Consider the following 27,443-nt stretch of genomic DNA (forward strand, 5'->3'; position numbering starts at 1 on the left):
ACACTAGAATTAGCTTTCAAACTATGCCAACATGTCGTTTAACATGCAAGTGCTCAAAATTAAATTGCACTTCTGCCCTCAGAAAACCCTAGTTGATAGCTTGGGTGTTTCTTATCATCTTTATTAGCTGGGGTTATGAAACTTAAATGGGTGATGTTGCTAAAACACTTTTCTCTAACACTTTCCCATGGGGAGTTAGAGGCAGGCTGCATGATTTGGCCGGGTTTTGTTCATCACAAATTAGGTCAACATCCCAATCCCAAAAGAAATCACCATTAGTGAAATGACATGTTTCAAGGGCTTTCCAAAATCAGTCCACCGGGTTTTGGCAAGCTCCAGCAAGGGTGGAGAGGGGTAAGGGGCAGCCAGGCCTTAATGGCCTTCTGAAGTTGGGTCCTGTATCTGACAAGGTTTCCAATGGCTCCTATGAACAAAACTGACTTTGCTCTTACTGCTTTTATGCAATTAAAGAGGCCAAATGCTGAAATAAAAATCTCACTTAACAATGAGGATTTACAGTAATGAAAAAATTATCCCGAGTTTTTTCTTCAGTGATGATGCAGTGACAGAAAGATTGAGGATGAGAGGGGAAAAAATCAACATTAGGAAACAGAATGTTGATTTCCTTTGTCCTAAAAATGCAATATAGCAATGAAAGAATCAATACTTTATTAAATGTTTAACACTGATGTCCAATCTTTTAAAGTTACCCTTTTAAGATTATTTCAACAAGCAAAATAAGTCTTAGCAGTTTTTACTTTGATAATTGCCAAATGATATTAGGAATATTACCTTTCCTCCCTTGCTTACAACAAAAACAAATACAAAAATGAAAGTTATAGGTAAAGATATATAATTTATCAAAGTGTTTTTTTGTTGTTGTTTTTTTTGTTTTTTTGAGACGGAGTCTTGCTCTTGTCACCCAGGCTGAAGTGCAGTGGCACAATCTCGGCTCAGTGCAACATCCAACTCCTGCCACCACGCCCAGTTAATTTTTTGTATTTTTAGTAGAGACAGGGTTTTGCCATATTGGGCAGGCTGGTCTTGAACTCCTGACCTCAGATGATCTGCCTGCCTCAGCCTCCCAAAGTGCTGGGATTACAAGCGTGAGCCACCGTGCCCAGCCTATCAAAGACTTTTTTTCCCCTATTTTTGTTTAATTTATTTAAGACCACCTCCCTACAATTTCCAGAGAAAAAATACAAAACAAGAAACAGACTTGGTTTCAAATACATAACCAGGTGCTGGAGTTTAAAGCATTACTGATAACATTGTTACAGAAGAATGGCAGCTTACTGCAGGACACTTCAGTATTCCTGAGGAATAAACATGATTTCTCTTGTCCTCCCACTGGGACGTTCTCAGGTGAAGTCACTGCTCCTGCTCTTTGACATATTTTCCATGTAGAAGATATGGAGCCTGGAAATCATGCTGACAGTTGGAGTAAGCCATTCCTAATCCCATGCCAGAACTGAAGGCTAATGGCCACATTCTTCTTTTAAAGAAGTGAGAAAACAATTCCTAATCCAAAACCAGTACCTGTCTTCACCACCGCATCTGCCAGGCACTGGTCCCACTTCCTGCTGAGCTCCAATTCCAACATGTTCCCCACCCATGCCTCTAGCTCTCCTCTCCGCCAGCCCCTGCACTCTTTAACACTACCAAAGTCTTAAATGACATTTCAAACTGCTAGATGGCCGGGCACAGTGGCTCACACCTGTAATCCCAGCACTTTGGGAGGCCAAGCTGGGTAGATCACTTGAGGTCAGGAGTTCGAGATCAGCCTGGCCAACATGGCTAAACCCCATCTCTAATAAAAATACAAAAATTAGTCTGGTGTGGTGGTGGGCACTTGTAATCCCCGTTATTCGGGAGGCTGAGGCAGGAGAATTGCTTAAGCCGGGAGGTGGAGGTTGCAGTGAGCCGAGATTGCGCCACTGCACTCCAGCCTGGGAGACAGAGTGAGATTCCGTCTCAAAAAAATAAAAATAAAAATTAGCCAAGTGTGGTGGCGGGAGCCTGTAGTCCTAGCTACTCGGGAGGCTGAGGCAGGAGAATCTCTTGAGCCCGGGAGGCAGAGGTTGTGGTGAGCCAAGATCGCGCCACTGAACTCCATCCAGCCTGGGCAACAAGAGCGAGACTCCATCTCCAAAAAAAAAAAAAAAAAAAAAAAAAGCTTTCAAACTGCTAGGAAACTAAAAATGTTGGTACATTAATAAATCACTAGCAGTTTAGACATTAACACTGCAAGAGGGAGAAGTTGGTGGCTACACAATGTTTTTATCGTGACTTTTACAAATCAAGCTGGTTATAAAGTCATTCTGTCATTCTCAAAGATATTAAGTTACCCACAGATAAATTAAATAAAAATCTCCCAATGCCTCTACGGATCTAACCACTCCAAGGAAACTAGCATGTTAAGCATTTTATCTAAGATATGAAAAAAAAAACTTTTTTGGAAACCAGCTATCTCCTGTTCATTACCTCACTATTGAGTCATGCTTCCTTTAACAAATCCAGACCTTACGCTTTCTATCCTGTCTTTTACACTAGTCTTTCTGAAGCCATTAAAACTCTCCCATGTTAAAGCAAAAATCTAGGATGTCCAGGTTTACTTCCCCATCACCTTTTCTCAAGCTGAAGACTTTTGGATTCAGTATCCAAGAAGGGACTCGAGTTGGGGAGAGGAAGAGAGGAGCAAGTAAGTAGGAAAGGAAGGGCAGTCTGTACTGTTAATGTCTCTTCCCCCTCCCCTTTATGGGAGCCTTTGTACAGGAAAAGCTGAGAAAGTGATCCACGGTTCCAAACAAAATGCTCTATGCTTACGAGGACCACGTGTAACACAGGGGTTTAGTGTTCCATTTTATTTTTTGTTGTTGTTTGTGTGTGTGTGTGTTTGAGACAGTCTTGCTCTGTCGCCCAGGCTGGAGTGAAATGGCGCAATCTCAGTTCACTGCAACCTCCGCCGCCCAGGTTCAAGTTATTCTTCTGCCTCAGCCTCCCAAGTAGCTTACAGGCGCCCACTAGCGCATCCGGCTAATTTTTGTTTTTTGTGTTTTTTTTTAAGTAGAGACGGGGTTTCACCATGTTGGCCAGGCTGGTCTCAAACTCCTGACCTCGAGTGATCTGCCTGCCTCGGCCTCCCAAAGTGCTGGGATCTGGCCAAGATGGTGAAACCCCGTCTCTACTAAAAATACAAAAATGAGTCGGGCGTGGTGGCAGGCGCCTGTAATCCCAGCTACTTGGGAGGCTGAGGCAGAGAATCGCTTAAACCTGGGAGGCAGAGGTTGCAGTGAGCTGAGATCGTGCCACTGCACTCCAGCCTGGGTGACAGAGCGAGACTCCATCTCAAAAAGAATAGTGGTGATCAATCTATATTGTACAAGAGCCCTTGGGAATTACATTTTTAAAAAAGACACAAGGTGGACCCTCATGCCCCTCATCAACGAAACAGAACTGGGTACATTCCCAGGTGAGGCCCACGTGCAGCCATGATTTTACCTTGGAATCCCATTCAGCCTTGAAGTTTGGGAGGAATGAATTCCACTTGTAGCTCCAGGAGAGATTTATGATTAAATTTACAGTGTTTAGCGCATCTCCCTGGCCAAGGAGACTTAAGGAGACACTGGCTGAGGGTTTCTGGAAAATTTTATTCATTCTTCTGTAAAAACTGCAGCCAGGACTACCTCTGGTTAATCCCATCAGTTTGGACGGGTTACCTTTCACTAGCAACATTAAAGACCCCAAATTAGAAAGCAACACATAGGCATGGTGAAGTCAAGAAAAGGGTGGACTTGAATGTTTATTTACAGGATGCTGCAAGATAGGAAATTCCACATAGAAATTAGAAACCTAGTCAGAGGACAAGCTTCATACAGTATGTACAGTTGGAACTGTTCAAGTATAGTTTCAGTGTAAAAAGTGCTACAATAACAAACCACATTTAAGAAAGAGTTCTTAGTAGAGAAACAATAAGACAAAATACCAAACATAGTACACAACAAATTTATGCCTCAGCTACATGATCTAAAAGTTAAAGGTCCCAGGAGCCCCATCCTGAACTTGGAAAGTGTAGCCTTCAGAGGTAGTTTCTGGCACAACGTTTTGATCTTCCTCTTCCTGGAAATATATTAAAAAATAAGTATAAAAATAATAAGTATTCCAAGCAGCAGCCTACCTGAAGTCTGTATTTAATCTCTAGGTCTTGATCTGCATATTACACCTTTAATCCTGTATGGTATTGTAGTATCTGACATAGGGGAGGGAGGGTCTCTGAAACTTTGCCAATTCATAAGTGCTAGCTACTACAGTAACAGAAACAGGCCGAGATTTTTTTTCTTCCCCAACCGTCACTTTTCAATAGGAAAAGACTGTATTAGGCCCAGAGCATGGTGGTGGGTTTGGCCTACTTCTCTATCACCTCCTACAATGACACCCGTTAACTTACCCTCAAGATATTCTAAGATTCTCAAGGCTGTTCATTTGAAACTAATCTGGTGACTTTTAAAATCTCACCTCAACGCCAAGACCAAGGTGCGAGGGCTTATTGAGATCATCTCCAATGCAGCAGGGTACGAGAATATCCCCATCCAGCACCATGAAGAAAACTTCCTGAGGCAGTTGGCTCAGAAGGTCCCTGACAAGCTGAATAACCCTAAGTTCAATGATCCGCACATCAAGACCAACCTGCTCCTGCAGGCTCACCTGTCCCGCATGCAGCTGAGTGCTGAGTTGCAGTCAGATACGGAGGAAATCCTTAGTAAGGCAGTCCGGCTCGTCCAGGCCTGCGTGGATGTCCTCTCCAGCAATGGGTGGCTCAGCTCTGCTCTGGCAGCTATGGAATTGGCCCAGATGGTCACCCAAGCCATGTGGTCCAAGGACTCATACCTGAAGCAGCTGCCACACTTCATCTCTGAGCATATCAAACGTTGCACAGACAAGGGAGTGAAGAGTGTTTTCGACATCATGGAGATGGAGGATGAAGAACGGAACACAATTCTTCAGCTGACTGACAGCCAGATTACAGATGTGGCTCGCTTTTGTAACTGCTACCCTAATATCGAACTATCTTAGGAGGTGGTGGATAAGGACAGCATCCGCAGTGGCGGGCCAGCGGTGGTGCTGGTGCAGCTGGAGCGAGAGGAGGAAGTCACAGGCCCTGTCATTGCGCCTCTCTTCCCGCAGAAACGTGAAGAGGGCTGGTGGGTGGTGATTGGAGACACCAAGTCCAATAGCCTCATCTCCATCAAGAGGCTGATCCTGCAGCAGAAGGCCAAGGTGAAGTTGGACTTTGTGGCTCCAGCCACTGGTGCCCACAACTACACTCTATACTTCATGAGTGATGCTTACATGGGATGTGACCAGGAGTACAAATTCAGCATGGATGTGAAAGAAGCCGAGACGGACAGTGATTCAGATTGAGTCCTGAGGCATTTACTCTTGGGTAAAGGAGAGTTGAGCCTGAATTAGGAATGTGTATATTGTAGGGATCCTGGTGGTTATGGGGACCACGTCTGTGGGCCTGAGGTCTGGCCAGCCAGGGCTGGTGCTGTCCCTGCCCACATCCACTTCCTTTTCCCTTGTTCACACTCTGGATCCAGTGACAGCAGGTGTCACGGGTCAAGCATAAATCATATATAGCATGTTCAGGCATGTTACTGGTAGTTCCTTTTGAGTCTGACATTCTAATAAAATAATTTGTAGAAACCAAAGCTAAATAAATAAATAAATAGATTTTATTACCATCAAGCCAAACATCAGAGGGGCAATAAGTACATTACGTCCTATGCACACTGATATTTTACTATATTTAACAAAGATATGAGGCTCATTTTTAAAAGTATGAGGGAAAAAAGGGCTCATGGCCTTGGCTTTACATTTTTCCAAGTTGTTATTAATATTACCATCCATTACTCACCTCTACAGAGAAATACTTCTCAGTTAAGCTTAATGAAGCCTTATATACAGACTCATTTTCATGGTTTTGTAGAGCTTCAATTTTGTCTACGCCTCCACATTCTTCAATCATTATACTAAGTTTCTCAGTTTCACCTAGTTTCTCAGCAGCCTAAAAAAAAAAAAAAAATCCAAGTTTACTGGCGTATACTCTGAATGTTTTAATGAAGAAAACATCGAAAATTTGAATATTGATATGTCAGGCAGAAATAAGCACCTTAACAGTTCCTTCATCAAGCCTATCATAGTTTTATGTCCATTCTATATTTTGTTGAAACTCAGTGTGATTGGATCTGTACCTACTCTTAGCAGTACTTCGACTGGAGCCAGAGATCTTACAATCAGTAGCTCTCAACCTTTTGTATGTATCAAAATCACATGGGCCACTTTTTTTTCTTTTTTTCTGTTTTCTTTTTTTTTTGAGATGGAGTCTCGCTCTGTTGCCCAGGCTGGAGTGCAATGGCGTGAAGTCGGCTCACTGCAAGCTCCGCCTCCCGGGTTCATGCCATTCTCCTGCCTCAGCCTCCCAAGTAGCTGGATCTATAGGCACGTGCCACCACGCCCGGCTAATTTTTTGTATTTTTAGTAGAGACGGGGTTTCACCGTGTTAGCCAGGATGGTCTCGATCTCCTGACCTCGTGATCCGCCTGCCTCAGCCTCCCAAAGTGCTGGGATTACAGGCATGAGCCACCGCGCCTGGCCAACGTGGGCAACTTTTAAAACAACACTACACTCCAGTTCAACTGGTCTGCTATGGGAACAGGGGCGTATTGTTTCGTAAAGCATCCTATATCATCACAAGGTGTAGTCAAGGTGTCTAAGGGCAAAGATGGCCTATGGAGTGCTAAACTAAATGTCTCCGAACAGAATGTGTGTTGGTATTAAGGATTTACGGGGCACATGGAATGGTATGTAGGTTAGTTTTTCTTTAAATTTTCAACTTTTAAGAGATACATAAATATCTATAGATGAAATAACAGATTTGCTTCAAAATAACTTAGGGGATTAGATGAAGGAAAGAAGAAATACTGGCCACATACTGACAAATTATTTATACACAGTGACAGATACACCAGCATCCATTATTGTAGGCTCAATTTTTTTTTTTTTTTTGAGACAGTTTCACTCTTGTCACCCAGGCTGGAGTGCAATGGCGTGATCTTGGCTCACTGCAACCTCCGCCTCCCAGGTTCAAGCAATTCTCCTGCCTCAGCCTCCTGAGTAGCTGGAATTACAGGCGCCTGCCACCACGCCCAGCTAATTTTTTTAATTTTTAGTAGAGACGGGGGTCTCATTATGTTGGCCAGGCTGGTCTTGAACTCCTGACCTCATGATCCACCCGCCTCGGCCTCCTCAAAGTGCTGGGATTACAGGCGTGAGCCAACATGCCCAGCCTGTAGGCTCAACTTCTATATGTAAAAATTTCTAGAATCCAAAGTTGATGAGAAGGGCTTACCTACCACCAATCACTACGGCAAAGTGCCATATGCTGGTATGCTTGGATCAGTTAGGGGTGGAACCAGAAGAAAAATATAATTAAGTCATTCAAAAAAAATTTTTTTTTGAGACAGAGTTTCACTCTTTCGCCCAGGCTGGAGTGAAGTGACGCAATCTTGGCTCACTGCAACCTCTGCCCCCCACCCAGAGTTCAAGCGATTCTCCTGCCTCAGCCTCCCAAGTAGCTGGGATTATAGGCGTCTGCCACCAGGCCTGGCTAATTTTTGTATTTTTAGTAGAGATAGGGTTTCACCATGTTGGCCAGGCTGGTCTCGAACTCCTGACCTCAGGTGGTCCACTCACCTCAGCCTCCCAAAGTGCTAGGATTACAGGCATGAGCCACTGTGCCCGGCCAAGTCATTCAAATTTAATGTCACCAAAATTCGGTATGAAATTGGGAAATTAAATCAACCAAGTAAACAGGTGTGATGAGTCCACATAAGCGCCTGACTCCGATTCAGTTCGCACCATCCACTTGTCATCTCTTTTATATCTTTTATAATGCCTGCCACATTTTTAATCAAAGGGGTGGCCACATAAACAGGCTTTCTGATTCTGTGGCTTACTAGTGAGTAAACTTACAGCTGCCCTCCCCCAAGTCTAAATAGTAAACCAATTATTATCAAGTCCAAATTCAAACAAAGCCACCTTGATAGGACTTACCTGAAAGATATTTGAAATGGCATCCAGGATAACCAGAATAATCTTGGTATCTTTTGCAGGTAAGAGGTTCATCAACGGTTCTATTATGCCACAGTGAACAAGGTACACAATCTGTTCAACTGTTCCACGGCCCATACAGCTTCCTTTTGTGTCTCAAAATCTGCCAATTAAACATAAGGAAATGGTTTTATTTCAGAACAGTTGCACAAATAAGATTCCAAGAGTACTTTTTCACAAAAACGGTGACTGAAAGTACCAAGGTTCTATTGATACAACCTTAAGTAAAGGGGTTACTGGGTATTGTTCAGCAAAGGACTCCTAGTAGAACCCAAGATTCTTGCACATGAAGAAGCTTATCAAGCACAGCTTTCTATAAATACTAAAAATGACTTGATTAAATCCTAAGACTTCGTTACCTTAGAGAGATCGCTGACAAGGAATGGGACTAATCCATGATTCACAACTTGCTGTATCTGGTCCTGGCGGCTGGCTGTGATGTTTGACATTGTCCACGTAGCTTCCTTCTGAATGTTAGTTTTGGGGTTGGTGAGCAGGCTGGGAAAGACGGCGAGTGCTCCTGCATCAATCACAACCTGAGTCTGTTCATCTGTACCAGTGACGATATTCCCTATGGCTCTTAGGGCAGGAGTCTGAAAAGGAAAAAATGTTGATGCTGGTTACCTTATATTTTTCTCAGCACTTCAGAAATTCTGTACTCCAAAAGTTTTAACAAGAGGCCCAACATGACCTGAAATAGGCAATATTTCAATATTGGTATCAACTGATTATGCTTTTTTTTTTGAGACAGGAGTCTTGCTCTTGTCACCCAGGCTGGAGTGCAATGGCGTGATCTTGGGTCACTGCAACCTCCGCCTCCCAGGTTCAAGCAATTCTCCTGCCTCGGCTTCCCGAGTAGCTGGGATTAAAGCGTGTGCCACCATGTCCGGCTAATTTCTTTGTATTTTTAGTAGAGATGGGTTTTCACATGTTGGCCAGGCTGGTCTCGAACTCCTTACCTCAGCTGATCCACCCGCCTCGGCCTCCCAAAGTGCTGGGATTACAGGCATGAGCTACTAAAAATTTAGACCTACATTTAATTTTGCCTGTTAAACATTCATTATTTTATATGTAGAACAGTTTCCAAACTCGATGTCAGGACTCACTGGAGTCTCAAGTTATGGAGTATCCAAGTGTTTCGTTGCTAAAAAAGGCAGCTTTGAATAATTTAAAAAATGAACTAGAAGGCCAGGCACAGTGGCTCACACCTGTAATCCTAGCACTTTGGGAGGCTCAGGAGGGAGGATGGGTTGAGCTCAGGAGTTCGAGACCAGTCTGAGCAACATAATGAGACCTCCCCTTCTACAAAAAATTAAAACAAAACAAAACAAAAATCCAGGCATGGTGGTGTGTGCCTATCACCATGCAAGACCTTCTCTCAAAAAAAAAAGAATCAGAGCAGACTGAAGATTATTCCTACATTAATCTCAATAACTTGCATTCAGATATACTTTGAGGGAGAAAGACATGAAGTTATAAGCAACATTCTGAGAATTTTGATATCTAATTTTATAATCTATATATTTCCATGGTTGAGTGTTGTTGCAAATATAAATGGGTTATGTGCGGCCAGGTGCAGTGGCTCACGCCTGTAATCCCAGCACTTTGGGAGGCCGAGGCGGTGGATCACCTGAGGTCAGACGTTCGAGACCAGACTGAGAAACATGGTGAAACCCCATCTCTACTAAAAATGCAAAAATTAGCCAGACGTGGTGGCGGGCCCCTGTAATCCCAGCTACTCGGGAGGATGTGGCAGGAGAATCGCTTGAATCCAGGAGGCAGAGGCTGCAGTGAGCCTAGATCGCACCACTGCACTCCAGCCTGGGCAAAAGAGCAAGACCTGTGCCCTGCCCCCCCAACAACAAAAAAATGTTTTATGTTGTGAATCAAAGTAGAAAGGAGGTTTGAGAGCCAATGCTACCCATAATTCAAAAAGCCAGTATCCCTGTCTCTCCAGGAGCTTGACACCTAACAGAAAATGTGACAAGTAGACAAACAGCATAAAACAAGTGGTAAATAGATGGGTTACATAGCATTTACTCCCAATTTTGGGTGCAGAATCAGGGCGCTAGAGAATCCTGAGAAAGGAGTGTCTTTCCTACGAGGCTAAGGAGTGCTATAAGAAGAAGATGAGCTTTGAGTATTAGTACCCTAGAAATAGAACACACGTAGTAGTCAATTGGAAAAAAAAAAAAGATAAATGTGGAGTGCTAAAGGGCTAAAGGAAGCATAACGTGGCTGGGTGCAGTGGCTCACACCTGTAATTGCAGCACTTTGGGAGGCCGAGGCGGGCAGATTACCTGACGTCAGGAGTTTGAAACCAGACTGGCCAACGTGGTGAAACCCTGTCTCTACTAAAAAAAAACAAAAATTAGTTGGGCGTGGTGGCGGCACCTGTAATCCCAGCTATTCGGGAGGTTGAGGCACGAGTATCACTTGAATCCAGGAGGCAGAGGTTACAGTGAGCCAAGATGGCGCCATTGCACTCCAGCCTTGGCAACAGCACGAGACTTTGTCTCAAAAAAAAAAAGGAAGCATATTGTGAGAAAAAGAAGTAGGAAAGTGCCCAGTTATCTTTGGAAGATGAAAGATAAATTTGAAAATCTAAGATAGGTCTACTTTGTGGAAGGCCTTCATGGAGTATGGATTATATTATTATTTTTTAGACAGAGTTTTGCACTTGTTGCCCAGGCTGGAGTGCAATGGTGCGATGGTGCGATCTTGGCTCACTGCAACCTCTGCCTCCCAGGTTCAAGCGATTCTCCTGCCTCAGCTTCCCAAGTAGCTGGGATTACAGGCACCCACCACCACCCCGAGCTAATTTTTTTTTATGTTTAGTAGAGACAGGTTTCACCATGTTGGCCAGGCTGGTCTCAAACTCCTGACCTCAGATTATCCACCCACCTCAGCCTCCCAAAGTGCTGGGATTACAGGCGCAAGCCACCGTGCCTGGCCAGAGTATGGATTTTTATTTTTAGAGACAGGGTCTTACTCTGTCATCCAGCATGGAGTGCAGTGGTACAATCATAGCTCACTGCAGCCTCAAAATCCTGGGCTCAAGTGATCCTTCTGCCTCAGCCTCCTGAATACCTAGGACTAAAGGCCTGTGCCACCATGCCCAGCTAACTTTTTATTTTTTGTAGAGACAAGGTCTTGCTATGTTGCCTAGTCTGGGCTCAAACTCCTGGCCTCCAGTGATCCTCCTATTTCAGCTTCCCAAAGTGCTGGAATTATAGGCGTGAACCATCATGCCCAGCGGAGTATGGATTTTTTATTTTTATTTTTTTTCTTGAGACAGAGTTTCACTCTTGCTGCGCAGGCTAGAGTGTAATGGCAAGGTCTTGGCTCACTGCAACCTCTGCCTCACAGGTTCATGCAATTTGGAGTATGGATTTTAAGGAGAGAAAAAACACGTCTAAAGCAGTACTTTAGGAAAAAATTCAGAAAAATAGCATTTGGCACAGAAAGAAGGAAACGATAAATTAGGAGGCTACTGTAAATATTTCAGGAGGAAAGACCTGAACAAAGCTGGTGACAAATACAAAAAAACACAGAATACCAAAAAAGACAGAAATAAACCAAATGGGCTGGGTGTGGTGGCTCATGCCTGTAATCCCAGCACTTTGGGAGGCCCAGGTGGGTGGATAACAAGGTCAGGAGTACAAGACCAGCCTGGCCAACATGGCGAAACCCTGGCTCTACTAAAAATACAAAAATTAACCAAGCGTGGTGGTCTGTACCTGTAATCCCAGCTACTCGGGAGGCTGAGGCAGGAGAATTGCTTGAAACTAGGAGGCGAAGGTTGCAGTGAGCTGAGATTGTACCACTACACTCCAGCCTGGGCGACAGAGCAAGACTCCATGTGGGAAAAAGCAAAAAGAAATAAACCAGAAACTGGTTGGCTCTGGACACACTGGTCAGGTCAAGGTACCCAGCTAGTAGCTAGAAATGCAGGGAAGTCTGAAGGAAGGTCAGAGTTAAAGGAAGATCCTAAATCAGCTTCAGTGGATTATGGAAGGCAGGAAAGAAGATAATTAGTAATTGCAAACAGAGAAAAAGATCTTCACAGATAGTTAAAACCATAAGACTAGAAATGTTAAGTTTACTTGAATTTCTAAGAAAAGTCCCTACTGATTTTCTGGATTTCATGTAACTCATAATCTAAAATATATTTTTTTACCTGGTTGTTGCAGTTTTCCTGCAGCGGAGAAGTAGCATCATCAGGAAATGAGCTTACATTTCTCCTCTTCAGCATCTGGTCATCCTTCTTAGCTTTCCTCAGCTCCACATTGACCTCTATTCTGTGACGCCTCGTTTCCTTGAGAAAAGATAACATGCTGTTTCACCTACCACATCAGTTTTTGTTGCTAAGTGAGGACATTTTTAAAAAGATCCCTAAGTTTTCATCCCTTTCCAAATGTCTTCCCATTTAAATAACACCATAAGAAAGCAACAGAAGGTACTCACTGTACTGTCCTTTCCCTTGTTCTTAGATCTGTGAAGATGGGCAGCTTGTGTATTAGCATTCTCATTGGTGGACATGGTTATGAGACAAAGGGAGAAAGCTAAAAGATGGGGGAAGAGAAAAATATTTCCTTTATCGTTTTCCTTTGTCAATAATAGTACCAAATAAGAACTGAATTATCAAGCATCTACTGAATCCACACCTGTGCACTAGAGGGATATCATCATGTTTTCAGCACTATGGAATAGTTTTAGCCAACGGATAACTGTCCCCCTTCCATCTGAAGGGCTGAGACTTCCTAGAGCAGGGCTGTCCATCAGAAATAGAATGCAAGCTATATAAATTGAAACTTCCTAGTAGTCATTTTTGTTTTGTTTTGTTTTGAGATGGAGTCTCACTCTATCGCCCAGGCTGGAGAGCAGTGGTGCAATCTCAGCTCACTGCAACTTCTGCATCCCAGATTCAAGTGATTCTCCTCCCTCAGCCTCCCAAGTAGCTGGGACTACAGGCGTGTGCCACCATACCTGGCTAAGTTTTGTATTTTTAGTAGAGATGGGGTTGCGCCATGTTGGCCAGGTCGGTCTCAAACTCCTGACCTCAGGTGATCCACCCACCTCGGCCTCCCAAAGTGCTGGGATTATAGGCGTGAGCCACCACATGCAGCCAAAAAAAATTCAAAATTAAAAAAACCCAATAAATAATAATGAACTTAGACAAAAATACCTTCTTGGCATCTAATGAGATGATCAAAAGGTTTCCTTTCTTTAACTTTTTTCTTTTTGAGAGTGTCTTGCGCTGTTGCCCAGGCTAGAGTGCAGTGGTGCGATCTCAGCTCATTGCAACCTCTGCCTCCTGGGTTCAAGCGATTCTCCTGCCTCAGCCTCCTAGCAGCTAGGACTACAGGCATGTACCACTGTGCCCCACTAATTTTTGTATTTTTAGTAGAGATGGGGTTTCACCATGTTGGCCAAGCTGGTCTTAAACTCCTGGGCTCAAGTGATCCACTCGCCTTGGCCTCCCAAAGTGCTGGGATTACAGGCATGAGCCACCACATCCAGCCTTTCTTTGACTTCCTAAAATAGTATGGTATTAGTAATCTCCTAGTATTGGAGATTGGTGTCTAAGGTGAAGCCAATTCAGCCATGGTTTCTTATTCTTTAAATTTACTCCTGAATAGATCTGCATACCAATATTTTGAGATTTCTTATAGACACACCTATTTGCTATTAATTATTAATAATAAATATTAATAAAGGAGACAGGGCCATAATTTTTAATTTGTCTATTTCTATTTATCAAGTTTTCTAACAGTTTCACACTAACAGAAACAATAATCTGTAAAATTTCCTCCTTTTTCTATTCTGGCAGAAAAGTTTAAATGGAACTATCTGGTTCCCAAAATTTAAGAAAAACCTTATGAAATCATTTGGTCCTGCCATCACCTTAATGACAGGTGCAGTGATAAACAACCAGAAATCCTTTTCCTGCCTAAGAGTGTGGCTTCTGACCTATTAAGGACTGAGATGACTGTGGCATCCTTCTCAACCCTTCCCCCCACCCAAAGGGAGCTCGGTGGGTCCCTTTCTGTGGCTGTGGGGATGGAAGGTGGGGCACGATGAGTTGGGGCCTTCTATTCCACCATCTTGCTCCACTCCTTCTAGGTGGACCCCTTTCATTGTAGATGTAGGAAACCTGAATACTATGTTAGTAGACCCTGTGAAGGCTTTAAAATTCCAAGTTCTAGTAAAAGAGAATCAGAAATGTTGGTTAGTATGTCTCTTTTTTTATTCTTGATATTGGTTATTTGTGCTGTATTATTTCCCCCCCTTGATAATCTTATCAGAGGCTTGTAAAACATAATGGGATCTAAAGTATGTTTGTTTTCTATTTCATCACATTTGGTCATCTTTAATATTTTCTTTCTTTAGGCTGGCTCCTTGAGATGTACCCCTAGCTAATTAATTTGCAGTTTTTCTTTTCTAACATAAGCATTAAAGGCTAGCAACTTCTCCTAGGAAGTCTTTAACTGCATCTCACAAATTTCAATATATGTAGTACTTTCATGAACATCCAGATCAAAATGTTTTCTGGTTTTCATTATGATTTACATTTGAGCACTTCTTATTTATTTAGAAGTGTATTTCTTATGTTTCAAGCATATAGCCCTTGCATTTCTTTAAAATTTTACAAATGTCTGTATCCCTAAACAATACTGTAACATTGTGTTATCACACATGCTTTTAAACGCTACACAAATGTATGTAGTATATACATTTATCCTTATGTATTTTTAGTGATGGAACTGTTTTCTTTTTTTTTTAATTTTTATTTTATTTTAGATTCAAGGGGTCTATGTGCACTGGGGGAACCGGGTTTCTAGTTACTCATTACCCGTAGAGTAAACACTGTACCCAACAGGTAATTTTTCAACCCTTATGCCCCTCCCAGCCTCTCCAAATGTTTTCCTTCTATTGTAAACTTACGAGATTCAATCTCGACACTTGTTGCTCTAGTGTGTTTTTCACTGCTATGTAACAGTCCATTATGAAATGATGACACAATTTAAACATGCCTGATTATGAGTACTTAGGAATTGTTTCCAAATTTCACCATTATGAAATAATATTATAAGGAATACCCTGTTACAATGTCTTCTCATGTACACAGGGTAAAAGTTTCTCTACCATATCGAGAAGGAGTCAAATTGCATTTTTAACTTTGGTTTTGTCAAACCATTCTCTAAAATGTTATAGCAACCATTGTACTAATTGCTCTCGTATCAGAAATGTATCACAACTATAATCCCAACACTTTGGTAGGCTGAGGCAGGCAGGTCGCTTGAGCCTAGAGTTTGAGAACAGCCTGGGCAACATAATGAGACACCGTGTCTACAAAAAATACAAAAACTAGCCAGGCATAGTGGAATGCGTCTGTAGTCCCAACTACTCGGGAGGCAGAGGTGAGAGAATAACCTTAGCCCAGGGAGGTCAGGGCTGCAGTGAGCTGTGATGGCACTACTGCATTCCAGCCTGGGTTGACGGACAAAAAATTAGCCGGGCGTAGTGGTGGGCACCTGTAATCCTAGCTACTTCGGAGGCTGAGGCAGGAGAATCATTTGAACCCAGGAGGCAGAGGTTGCAGTGAGCCGAGATTGTGCCACTGCACACCAGCCCGGGCAACAGTGCAAGACTCCGTCTCAAAAAAAAAAAAAGAAAGAAAGAAAGAACTAATAATATTCATTCATGTTTACAACTTATATAGGAAGAAACTGAGCCAAAAGTAAAGTCTTTAATATGGCCTCTTAAATACATTAACTTTCATGATTAATAGGCTAGTATTTCAAAAGCGAGTCCAATATTCATCATTTACAAGGCTCAGAATTCACTTACCTGGTATGTCCTAAAGATTCTCGCCATATTGGTAGCATCACAACTGGTTTAACTGCACACTCCAAAATGGCTAAAGCCAATGCAAATTCTCTGAGTTTGCTACACATCTGAACTGCCTTGATCCAGTTTGCCCTGTATTTCAGAAGAAATGAAAGAAATTATTTCACTAGGTTGATCTAAATTAAAAGCATAATAGTTGTAACTTTGGTCTCCATCTGATTCCAGGAATAAAGATTCTGACTCCTAGGAATCCTCCAAATAGTTAGTGGTGTCAGTTCAGTAAGTTAGAAGTACACTCATGCCTCTAACGTCCTGTCTGCTGACCACATTGACTTCATTCAACTCATTGGTAATGACGTTTTCAAGTGCACAACTACAACAATCATTTTATAAACATTTAGTATATTTACAGCAATAAATTAACCTTAGTTTCCTTTACCTATGTGATGCCCGGTTGGGATGAAGAAAGGATGAAGGGATGTTGTTTTCTAATTGGGTGATAGTCAGTCTCAGAGTAGATATGGTAAGAACTTTGGACCCATGGACAGAACCGTTCCATTTGAACTCTCCTGCTGGAGTCAGACAGAACTTATGTGCAAGATGCCTTCTCTTATCATGGTCTTCTCTGTGCTGGTGCTTATTCAAAGCAAATGAATTAGTGGAGTATTGATTGTGGTAGACGCGATACTTCCCTTCTTGACCCAATTTAAGATAATTGTTGATACTTCCTTTCATGACCACTTTCTTTTCGGTGCTCAACCGTGAAATTTCTCCTTGAGAGTTAACTACCAGTACCTGACCAAAAAAATAAAAAGACTGCATTATTTATGTCAGCCAAAGATGTAAATTGTATCCAATCAACTGTCTTTCAATAATTAAAATTAATCACTCAAAGTAAGTTAAGATAAATCTTATGATAGAACTTTTGAAGTCTAAAAGCTAAGTTAAAAGTAAAGCTAATTGTTTACAATTAAACAACCAAGATATGCCTGCAGAAAGAAAACTAACACATATTAAGTACCTATTACGTGTCAGATACTATTATTCACTGCTTTCATGTATTAATATTTCAAATATACACATGAAACCATACATATAAATTACTCACCTACCATTTTTTCAAGTTTATAACAAGCTTTTCAAGTTTATACCTAAGGGAAAAAGAAGGGCATCACAGGTATTCTCCCCCCCAAAATATATTCCTAAAAACGCTCTTTTGGGTCCTTTTATCATTCCAGCTATAGTGTAAGACCTCATGGATACTTCAAAATAGTATTTTCAAACAGTTGATCCCAACTCTTTAGTGACTATGAAATAAATAGTGGGTCTTATTCAGCTTTTTAAAAAATAAAATGTAACGCAGCCAGGCACAGTGGCTCATGCCTGTAATCCCAGCACTTTGGGAGGCCAAGGCAGACAGATCATGAGGTCAGTAGATTGAGACCACCCTGGCCAAGGTAGTGAGACCTCATCTCTACTAAAAATACAAAAAAAATTAGCTGGGCATGGTGGCGTGTGCCTGTAGTCCCAGCTACTCGGGAGGCTAAGGCAGGAGAATCACTTGAACGAGGGAGGCGGAGGTTGTGGTGAACCGAGATCGCACCACTGCACTCTAGCCTGGCAACAGACAGAGACTCCGTCTCAAAAAAAAAGGTAATGCAATAGGCTAGCACAGAAAATATCAGAGTGCTTCCCACATAATAAGGTAAAACAGTCTTTCAGAAAGCTTTTGAATATGTATACTGGGCTGCTATGAAAAAATGTGTATTTGACTGAGGGTCAGAGTCAAAAAGAAGTATGAAAGCCACTACTTTTAAGCAATCGCTGTGATGTTAAGAACATCATTTATTCGTACATATTTACACTGCAAATAATTCTTGAATCTGGGAGACACAGTTGGGGCCACGTCCTGTCACCATGGCTAGCTGAAGGGCAGAGATACTGAGTCCTAGCTCTGATCCCATGATCTGATTCACGATCAGAGCTGGGACGCCATGCTGTCCTATCTACAGTGTTCTGCTATCAATGGGTAAGCCTCGTCCTTTAGCTGCAGGTTCACCCGGAGTGATCATAGCTAGAACTGAGCAGTGAATCATCGATAATTCTTTAATAAACCATAAAACCCAAAATAGCCTACTCATATGTGTAAAGAAGGCTTTAATTCTTTAGAATTGTATGTAGAATAAAACTGGTCATGTAGTAAGAAAGTGTATCAGCCATTTATAGCATTTATATGCCTCGACTGAAATTTGGGTATGCAACTATGCTTAGAAAGCCTAATGTTTTTAATCTTGTTACCTACTACAGCTTTGGAAATAGAGAAAATACAATTCAAAAATAGGTCTACAAATTTCTACAGATTATATATATATATAAAATATATATATATAAAATTATATATATATATAAAATATATATATAATTATATATATATAAAATATATATATATAATTATATATATATATAAAATATATATATAAAATTATATATATATATATTATATATATAAAATTAGCCGGGCGTGGTGGCGGGTACCTGTAGTCCCATCTGCTTGGGAGGCTGAGGCAGGAGAACCACTTGAACCCTGGAGGCAGAGGTTGCAGTGTGCGGAGATCACACCATTGCTCTCCGGTCTGGGCAAAAGAGAGAGACTCCATCACAAAAAAAAATAAAATAAAATAAAATAAAGTTTGTTCCCTGGATCCAGCATCCCCTTTTAACAACTAAATCCTTTTTCCCTTCCTCCTTTTCGAGCCAACTTCTCTGTCCCCTCACTTAGACAACCAGCTCACTGCTCAGAGGCCTTCCACCACTTCCTTGATGACAGACCTGGTCCTTGTTAAGCATGTCCGTGTGAAGAGACCACCAAACAGGCTTTGTGTGAGCAACAAGGCTGTTTATTTACATCCGGGTGCGGATGGGCTGAGTCCAAAAAGAGAGACAGCGAAGGGGGATAGAATAGGGGCAGCTTTACAGGACTTGGGTAGGCAGTGGAAAGGTACAAGTTAAAGGTGGTTATCTATTGATAGCAGGGGAGGGGTCACAAGGTGCTCAGTGGGGAGCTCCTGAGACTCACTGTCCAGGAGGAGATTGTCACAAGGTCAATTGATGAGTTGGGGCAGGGACAATGCAAGGAGCTGGCTGTTTTACTCCTTTTTGTGGGTTTTTTTTTTTTTTTTTTTTTGGCTGCTCCAGACTTTGTGGCTCCTGCAGGCCATTTGGATGTATACGGGCAGGTCACAGGGGTTACAAGGACCTTGCTCCGGCTTAGAGGCCTGACAATCTTCCTCTGGCCTGACTTCTGTCCAGTGTTTGCTCTTTAAAATCCTCTCCTTCTTGGGCTTTCTCGGGCCAGGCCTCCTGGTTTTCCTTCTTTTTCTCTGCTACTGCTCAGCAGTTGGGCCCCAGGCTCCATCTCCTCCGCCACGGCCTCATGCTTGGTGTCTCACCTGTCTTCTCACTCCACCGCCTTGGGAGAGCCCAGCCCCACTGGCTGTAGATCAACAACTCGCAGCACAGTCTCCAGGCTCACATAGCCCACTGCCATCTGGATGTCCTTTGTACATGTTGAAAGCTGTGTGCCCCAAATCAAATTTGTCCTCTCCCTCCTCCCTCCCCATTCTCAGCATCTGAGTGACATCTACTTCTGTCACCCAAGGTAGAATCATCCTTGCCTCCTGCTGGCTTTGCCTCATCTGTCACTGAGCCCTGTTGATCTCACCAGCCTAAACCTTGCAGACCTGCCTACCAGTTCTCACGTAACACCAGGGTTAGAAGAACATGAAAACACTGCTGCAAGGAAGCAAACAAACACCTTGCAGGCAGGCAATGAGTCAATGTCCAGGCAGAAGGAAAGGGCGGGGCTCTTCAAGGGAGATTGAAGAGACAGCCAGATACAAGGCATGACCTTGCATGGGATCCTGAACCAAACAAACCAGCTGTGAGAGAGATGTTTTAGGATAAGGTGGAAATCTGACGATGGCTTAGGTCATAGATGACATTAAGGAACTATTGTTAATTTTGTCAGACATAATAATGGAGGGTGTTCATGGAGAAAGACATCACTTTTCAGAGATGCATGCTGAAGTTTTCGGGGTGAAATATGATGCCTAGAATTTATAATTCATCAGCAATAAATAAATAAATAAATAAATATAAATAAACATGGCAAATATTGTTTTTTCTCTTTTCTCTTTTTTTTTTTCCTAGTAGAGCAGCCAGCAAGGAGCAAGTATTGTTAAATCTAGGCAATAGGTAATTGTATTCGTTTTTCAAAAATATTATTTTTGGCTCAGTGTGGTGGCTCATGCCTGTAATCCCAGCACTTTGGGAGGCCGAGGCAGGCGGATCACCTGAGGTCAAGAGTTCGAGACCAGCCTGGCCAACACGGCAAAACCCCTCCTCTACTAAAAATACAAAAATTAGCGGGGCATGGTGGCATATGCCTGTAATCCCAGCTACTCGGGAGGCTGAGGCAGGAGTATCACTTGAGCCCGGGAGGCAGAGGTTGCAGTAAGACGAGATCATGCCATTGCACTCCAGCCTGGGTGACAGAGCAAGACTTGGTCTCAAAAAAAAAAAAAAAATTCTTTTTGGCCGGGCATGGTGGCTCACACCTGTAATCCCAGCACCTTGGGAGGCAGAGGTAGGTGGATCTCTTGAGATCAGGAGTTCAAGACCAGCCTGGCCAACATGGTAAAACCCTATCTCTACTAAAAATACAAAAATTAGCCAGGCATGTGCCTGTAATTCCAGCTACTCAGGAGGCTGAGACATGAGAATCACTTGAACCTGGAAGGTAGAGACTGCGGTGAGCTGAGATTGTGCCACAGCCCTCCAGCCTGGTGACAGAGCAAGATTCTGTCTCAAAAATAAAAAAATTATTTTTACTTTTCTGCATGTTGGACATTTTCTTAAGTTTTAAATTTATTTACTTATTTTTAATATAGAGGTAGGGTTTCACTGTGTTGTTCAGGCTGGTCTCAAACTCCTGAGTTCAAACAATCCTCCCGCTTTGGCCTCCCAAAGTGCTAGGATTACAGGGGTGAGCCACCAGGCCCAGCCTAATTGGACATTTTCATAATAAAAATAAAATTAAAAAAAAAATTCCTCAAACATTTTTACTATTCTCCATCCTCACTGTCACTACCATATAAGCCTGTGCTCTCGGCTACTTGGAAGGACGAGGTGGGAGGATTGCTTGAGCCCAGGAGGTTGAGGCTGCAGTGAGCCGTGATTGCACCACTGCACTCCAGCCTGGGTGAAAGAGCAAGACCTTGTCTCAAAAAAGAAAATAAGAAAAAGTTGTTCATTATTTCTCACCTGGAAACAGACTTGCTCTTCCAGCAATCCCTGCCCCCGATGTATTACAGACGAAGTAGTTCCTCTCCCTTTCAGACACAGCTCTGGAGCCAGGATTCTGGGAATAAGGCCACTTAAACACGCCCTGTTTCCCCTCTGCTCCCAACTGTGACCTGCTACTACTGCCTGAGTCAAGCAGAGGCTGGGGCAGTGGGTGGGTGGGACCTGGCTGCCACAGGTGAGAGGCTATGTCTGAGGTGGAGGCTCCCAGGGGAACCCTGGGGCAGGCTGGCCCATCATGGGACCCCAGGGAGAAGGCAGTGTGGCTTTTGTATCCTTGTGCCCAGGAGCTGAGGGGGGCCAAACAGGTGGGCCAGGTAGTCTCTACCCATAAGGCCAGGGCACCAAGGAGACAGAGAGAATTCCTGCTGGTGTTTTGACATCACGGATGTCCAACACCCACAGGCTCACTGGCAGAGACCACCATCCCTTCTCCACTCTAGGGCCACCCCTCCAAGTGGGGTACTCCTGCAGCTTGACTCCAGCTCTGAGGAGCAAACTCACTCTGTGACAGCTCAGCAGGGGCAACAGAGAGAACCACCAAACCAGCTGCTGCCACCAGACCCCAGCACAGCCGGGACCCAGGACGCACTAAACCAGCCGCCGCTACTAGACTCCAGCACAGTTGGGACCCAGGACACACTAAACCAGCCGTCGCTACCAGACTCCAGCAAAGTTAGGACCCAGGACACACTAAACCAGCCGCTGCTAACAGACCCCAGCACAGCCAGGACCCAGGACACACTAAACCAGCCGCTGCTACCAGACCCCAGCACAGCCGGGACCCAGGACGCACTAAAGATGCCATCACAGGTCATGGGGAAAGACAGACTTGTCAGTGAAAGGTCACAGGACAACTGGGACAACTTAGCCCATCCAGAGATAAACAAATAAACATGTATATAAATAAGGGAGGGTCCACATCTCATTCTGTCCATCCACATTAACCTTCAAAGGATTAAAGATTTACATTTTTAAAAATGAAGCCATAAAAATAATCAAAAAAGAAAACAAAATCCAATATGCTGTATGTACATATATATAAAAGCCCATATATTTTATATATATGTCTCTTTATATATATAAAAGACTTCAATATGCTGTATGTATATATATAAATATATATTATATATAATATGCTGTATGTGTGTGTATATATGGCTTCAATATGTTGTGTCTGTGTGTGTATACATATATGTATATATATAAATATAAGACTTTGTAACAAAGACTCAAAATATAAAAGCCATAAAATAAACGAGTGATACATTTGACTACATAAATGTGTTTTAAGAAAACTTGTGTGGCAAAATAATGCTATTAGCAGAGTCAAAAGACAAGCTCAGGGTGGCGGAGGGAATTACAACTCAGGTAATAATAGACAAAGGGCTATTTTCTCTAGTATAGAAAAAGCTACTAGAACTCAATAAGAAAAAAACCTAACAACCCAATACACAAACAGGCAAAGGATATAAACAGACCACTCACAGAAAAAAAAAAAAAAGTGGAGGGGGACAAACAGCCCTTAAATATATGAAAAGATACTCTTTCTGGAAAGAAAAATGCAAATTTAAAGTACCTTAAGATAAGACATATTATGGTCAGATTGGCAGAAAAGGAAAGTTTGACAACAGTTAGTTGGCAAGGCTGTGGGGAATAAGACACCCTCATTTGTGTTGGTGAGGTCAAATTGGTATATGCCTCATGGGATATACCCATCAAGTATCTATTATTTACCTTTTGACCCCAAAATCCCATTTTTGGAATTTTTCCAACATCTACCTATACATATATAAAAGAGTATTCATTATGGCATTGTTGTAATAGCAAAAAATGGGAAACATTCCGAGTGCCCGTCAACAGGAGACTGGTAAAATGGATTATTTGTAGTTGTAGGGAAAGAGATAGAAACTCTCTAGGTATAATCTCCAAGATACATTGTCAAAGGAATAAATAAAAGTAAACAAGCTTGTTTTTTTAAAAAAAATCTTGTTTTACACACAAGATGGTGTGTACAAGGTACTACCTTTGCTTAAGAGAGAGAGAAAATTAAGTAATCAGATATGTAGTTATACTAGTTTGTACTTAGAAACTCTGGAAGAATGAAGAAAGAATGAACGAAAGGGGTGACTTTTGAGTTGATGGAGAACAGAGCAGGGAAACAGGGTACATGTGAGATTTTTACTATAGATTTTAAAATATTGCTTTGATTAAAAAAACCTGTAAATACATTACCTAGTAAAATAAATTCAAGGCTATTGGCAAAATAGAGGGCCTGGAGAATGCAATTACAACTTGAATACAAACTCTTAAGGAGACTCGAATCAAGCAGAATTTTTAAAAAGGACTGATTTTTAGAACTTAAAATATGTCATTGTATTAGTTGAAGGGGAATAAATTCACTCTTGAGATTCAAATTTGCAGCCTGGAAGGTCAAAAAGAAATATCAAATTTCAGAGCAAAAGTACACCAAGATTGAAATAAAGATGCCAAAGATAAACTGCAGGGGACCCAGTCAGGAGCACTCACATGCAAAGGAAAGAAAAGGTAAAAGAAACAATAATCAAGCAACAGGCCGGGCGCAGTGGCTCATGCCTGTAATCCCAGAACTTTGGGAGGCTGAGGCAGGCGGATCGCTTGAGCCCAGAAATTTAAGATCAGCCTAGGCAACATGGCGAAACTTTGTCTCTCCAAAAAATACAAAAAAAGTTAGCTGGGCCTGGTGGCGTGTGCCTGTATTTCCAGCTTCTCAGGAGGCTGAGGTGGGAGGATCACTTGAACTCAGAAGGTGGAGGCTGCAGTGAGCCGTGATTGTGCCACAGCACTCCAGCCTGGGTGGCAGAATAAGACCCTGTCTCAATAAATAAACAAACTAACAATAATCAAATCAAGCAACAAATAGATGTTCCTAAGCTGAAAAAAGACCAGAACCTACAGAGTGACAGGTTCTGTGAGCTCCAGATGAGGGTGCTGCGAAAAGAATCCCCATCGAGGCATGTGCTAAAGAATATGTGTTTGATTAGGAACCCCAGAGAAGGGACAGCTGCCAATAATGAAATGGAAAGTGCAACAGGGGAAGAAAAAGGAAATCGATAACCAGATCAGAGGGAAGAAAAACACAAGATAAACCAATAAATGTAAAATAAGCCAAAGGTAATTAAGTACAGTAGATCAATTGTTAAATGAAACATGAACAGAGTGAATTCTCCCACCAAAAGACGAGTCATCTTGGGTTTAAAAATACAGTGATAGGCTGGGCACAGTGGCTCACACCTGTAATCCCAGTACTTTGGGAGGGTGAGGCAGGTGGATCGCTTGAGGTCAGGAGTTTGAGACCAGCCTGACCAATGTGGTGAAACCCTGTCTCTACTAAAAATACAAAAATTAGTTGGGCGTGGTGGCATGTGCCTGTAATCCCAGTTAATCAGGAGGTTGAGGCAGGAGAATCACTTGAACCTGGGAGGCGGAGGTTGCAGTGAGCCGATATCGAACCACTGCACACCAGCCTGAGTGACAGAGCAAGACTCCATCTCAAAAAACAAACAAACGAGAAAAAATGAAGACAACAAAAATACAGTGGTGATGGGCAACATGAAGAAACCCCATCTCTACAAAAAAGACCAAAAAAAAAAAAATTAGCTGGGCATGGTGGCACACAGGCCTGTGGTCCCAGGTTCTCGGGGTGCTGAGGCAGGAGAATTGCCTCAGCCAGGGAGGTTGAGGCTGCAGAGGGCCATGATCACACCATTGCACTCCAGCCTGGGCAACAGAGGGAGACCCTGTCTCAAACAAAACAAAACAGTGATGTGACATATACAAGAAATTAGTAGTTTCAAAAAATGATAATGGTAGAAAATAAAAGAATGCTAAGCAAGTGCAAAAAAAAAAAATAAAGTAAAATAAGGAGTGGTCATATTAACAATAGAAGGGTGAAATTTAAGGTTAAGCACTATAATAGGATAAAGAGGGACACCACGTAATGATAGAAAAGCACAATTTGTAACGACATGACAGAATACTCAAAATCTGCAGGCTCCCGACAGCATCGTAGTTAAATATAAAAAGCAAAAACTAGGAAAAGCACCAGAAGAGCTTTATAGAGAAAATGTGAGTGGAAGGTTTAACATAACACATCTCTATCAGAATTAGAGTAAAAGACCCCTGCCCCCAAGCAAAGGATACAAAGGAAATGAAAGTTTGAATAATATAATCAATAAACTTGATTTGATGCAGTTAGGACCTTATAGCCCTTAAATGGAAAATATGCATTTTTCCGTCCAGGGATTAATATGCATTAATCCCAGCACTTTGGAAGGCTGAGATGGGTGGATCACTTGAGGTCAGGAGTTCCAGAGCAGCCTGGCCAACATGGCAAAATCCCCTCTCTACTAAAAATACAAAAATTACCTGGGCTTGGTGGCGCACACCTGTAATCCCAGCTACTCAGGAGGCTGAGGCAGGAGAATCGCTTGAACCCAGGAGGTGGAGGTTTTGGTGAGCCAAGACTGTGCCACTGCACTCCAGCCTGGGTAACAGAGTAAGACTCCATCTCAAAAAAAATAAAATAAAAATAAAAATAAGAAAATATGCATTTTTCTTATATGTCTATGAAAAACTTAGAAAAATCATTTACTTGGTCACAAAGAAATTCATAATAAATTTTAAAAGTGGAGATTTTACACATCTGGAGAAAATGAATGCTTTCCTAGTAAAATATAAAATGGCCAAAATTAACTAGAAGGTGAGTAGAAACTTAAATAAACTAATTACCACTGATGAGAAAAAAAATCTGCCACTGAAAAAGGCACCAGGTCCAGAGGGTTTCATGAGAGGGAACTGTAGAAACCTTTTGAATTCATCTTTGCCAACACCTTCCTCCTCCAGGAAGCACTCTTGGATTTCCCTCTTGCGAACAAGATTCTGGGAGGATGGCTCCTCCAACATGCCCCCCACAGCTCTTTGCAGATGCATCATGTCATATCATATCATATCTGCCATACCATAACTACCATGCCATACCATATCATAATTGGATCTGCTGTTCAATTTCTCCTGGACAGTAAGCTACCTGAGGGCAGGAACCATCCTTTATTTTTCATTGCTCCCTAGTGCCCAGTACAGCAGCTGACATTCACTGACTAGGTGAATATGGTAAGTGAAAAAGCAGAAGGCACAATCGTCATTACGCTGTGATGTCTCTATGGGAACTGCCCAAGACATACACATAAGAAGGCAGAATAAATGGGAAGAAACCAACATGCTAACAGTCATTTGATTGAGATTTCCTCCTATTATTCAAATATTTGTAATGGAGTTAAGCTATTTTTATAGGGAGGGAATAGTAATTTACACATTTAACTGGGCCAACGAGGAGAAAGGAAGGGGGAGGTTGGGAGGATTCTGCAGGCAGGCCCTTCTGCTACCTCTGCTTCCTCTCTCTGGCCCAGCCCCTAGACAGACACAAAGGCCTGGACGGGGGCCCCTGCCCCACTCCCTTCATGCCTCACAGGGGACCCCCAGCCAGGAGAAGGCAAGGAGGCAGGGTGGGCACCCACAGGGGCCTCAGTTGGACAGAAGGGTCCTGCGGGGCTCACCTGGCAACAGCTCTGCAAGTTCCCTCAACACCAGAATCCTTCTGCAATCTGGAAACAGAGCTTCCCAAAATTTAGCAAGAGCACCTGTGCCCCTATGCCCCTGTGCCCCAGAGCCCTAGTCCTGGCAGCCCTATTTCCCCCTCAATATGAACAAACAGCCGCTGACCTCTCACTCCCCGGCACAGATCCAGCTCTGAATCTCCCTAACATTCAGGCATGGAGCCCCGACCGCATTTCTGGTCAGCAGCTACCCCCTGGTCACGATCATGGACTTTCCCATTCCCCAGGGCCTGGCACTGACCACCCATCCAGGCTGGCATTCAGAAGTACTGATGCCCACCCTTCCCTGTACTGGACATAGTCATCTCTAAGAAGGGCAGAGAAAATAGGTCCATGGGAGCTAAGCTATGAGGAGGCAAAGGCCTAAGAATGATATAATGGACTTTGGGGACTTGGGAGTGG

At 42.7% G+C, this 27,443-nt stretch overlaps 5 pseudogenes across 2 annotated transcripts in view, besides 1 other annotated feature; 1 reads left to right on the top strand and 4 right to left on the bottom strand.

Moving 5' to 3' along the window:
• MICOS10P2 (MICOS10 pseudogene 2) lies at positions 1,146-1,651 on the bottom strand (annotated as a pseudogene).
• KPNA2P3 (karyopherin subunit alpha 2 pseudogene 3) lies at positions 3,773-8,777 on the bottom strand (annotated as a pseudogene).
• Positions 3,773-27,443, bottom strand: part of ARHGAP27P1-BPTFP1-KPNA2P3 (ARHGAP27P1-BPTFP1-KPNA2P3 readthrough, transcribed pseudogene) — a 32,338-nt pseudogene continuing 8,667 nt past the window's right edge. The window contains exons 4-13 of the transcript NR_026899.1: positions 18,562-18,659; positions 16,466-16,821; positions 16,027-16,158; positions 12,640-12,737; positions 12,353-12,490; positions 8,532-8,765; positions 8,116-8,275; positions 5,918-6,067; positions 4,705-4,834; positions 3,773-4,119 (exon numbers count right to left, since the gene is read on the bottom strand). The product of NR_026899.1 is annotated as an ARHGAP27P1-BPTFP1-KPNA2P3 readthrough, transcribed pseudogene (transcript). The remainder of the gene's footprint in view (positions 4,120-4,704; positions 4,835-5,917; positions 6,068-8,115; positions 8,276-8,531; positions 8,766-12,352; positions 12,491-12,639; positions 12,738-16,026; positions 16,159-16,465; positions 16,822-18,561; positions 18,660-27,443) is intronic.
• On the top strand, positions 4,513-5,711 carry LOC101929240 (U5 small nuclear ribonucleoprotein 200 kDa helicase-like; annotated as a pseudogene). Its single transcript, XR_243770.4, has one exon. The product of XR_243770.4 is annotated as a U5 small nuclear ribonucleoprotein 200 kDa helicase-like (transcript).
• Positions 13,210-13,422: a silencer, noted in NCBI's record as "fragment chr17:62755217-62755429 (GRCh37/hg19 assembly coordinates)". NCBI's record gives its function as "represses an EF-1alpha promoter that drives an FKBP-Casp9 reporter gene in an ReSE screen in K562 erythroleukemia cells {active_cell/tissue: K562}" and the evidence as "EXISTENCE:reporter gene assay evidence [ECO:0000049][PMID:32094911]".
• Positions 16,025-16,823, bottom strand: BPTFP1 (bromodomain PHD finger transcription factor pseudogene 1; annotated as a pseudogene).

The sequence above is a fragment of the Homo sapiens genome, chromosome 17 (genome assembly GCF_000001405.40).
Source record: "Homo sapiens chromosome 17, GRCh38.p14 Primary Assembly".
Classification (NCBI taxonomy): Eukaryota; Metazoa; Chordata; class Mammalia; order Primates; family Hominidae; genus Homo; species Homo sapiens.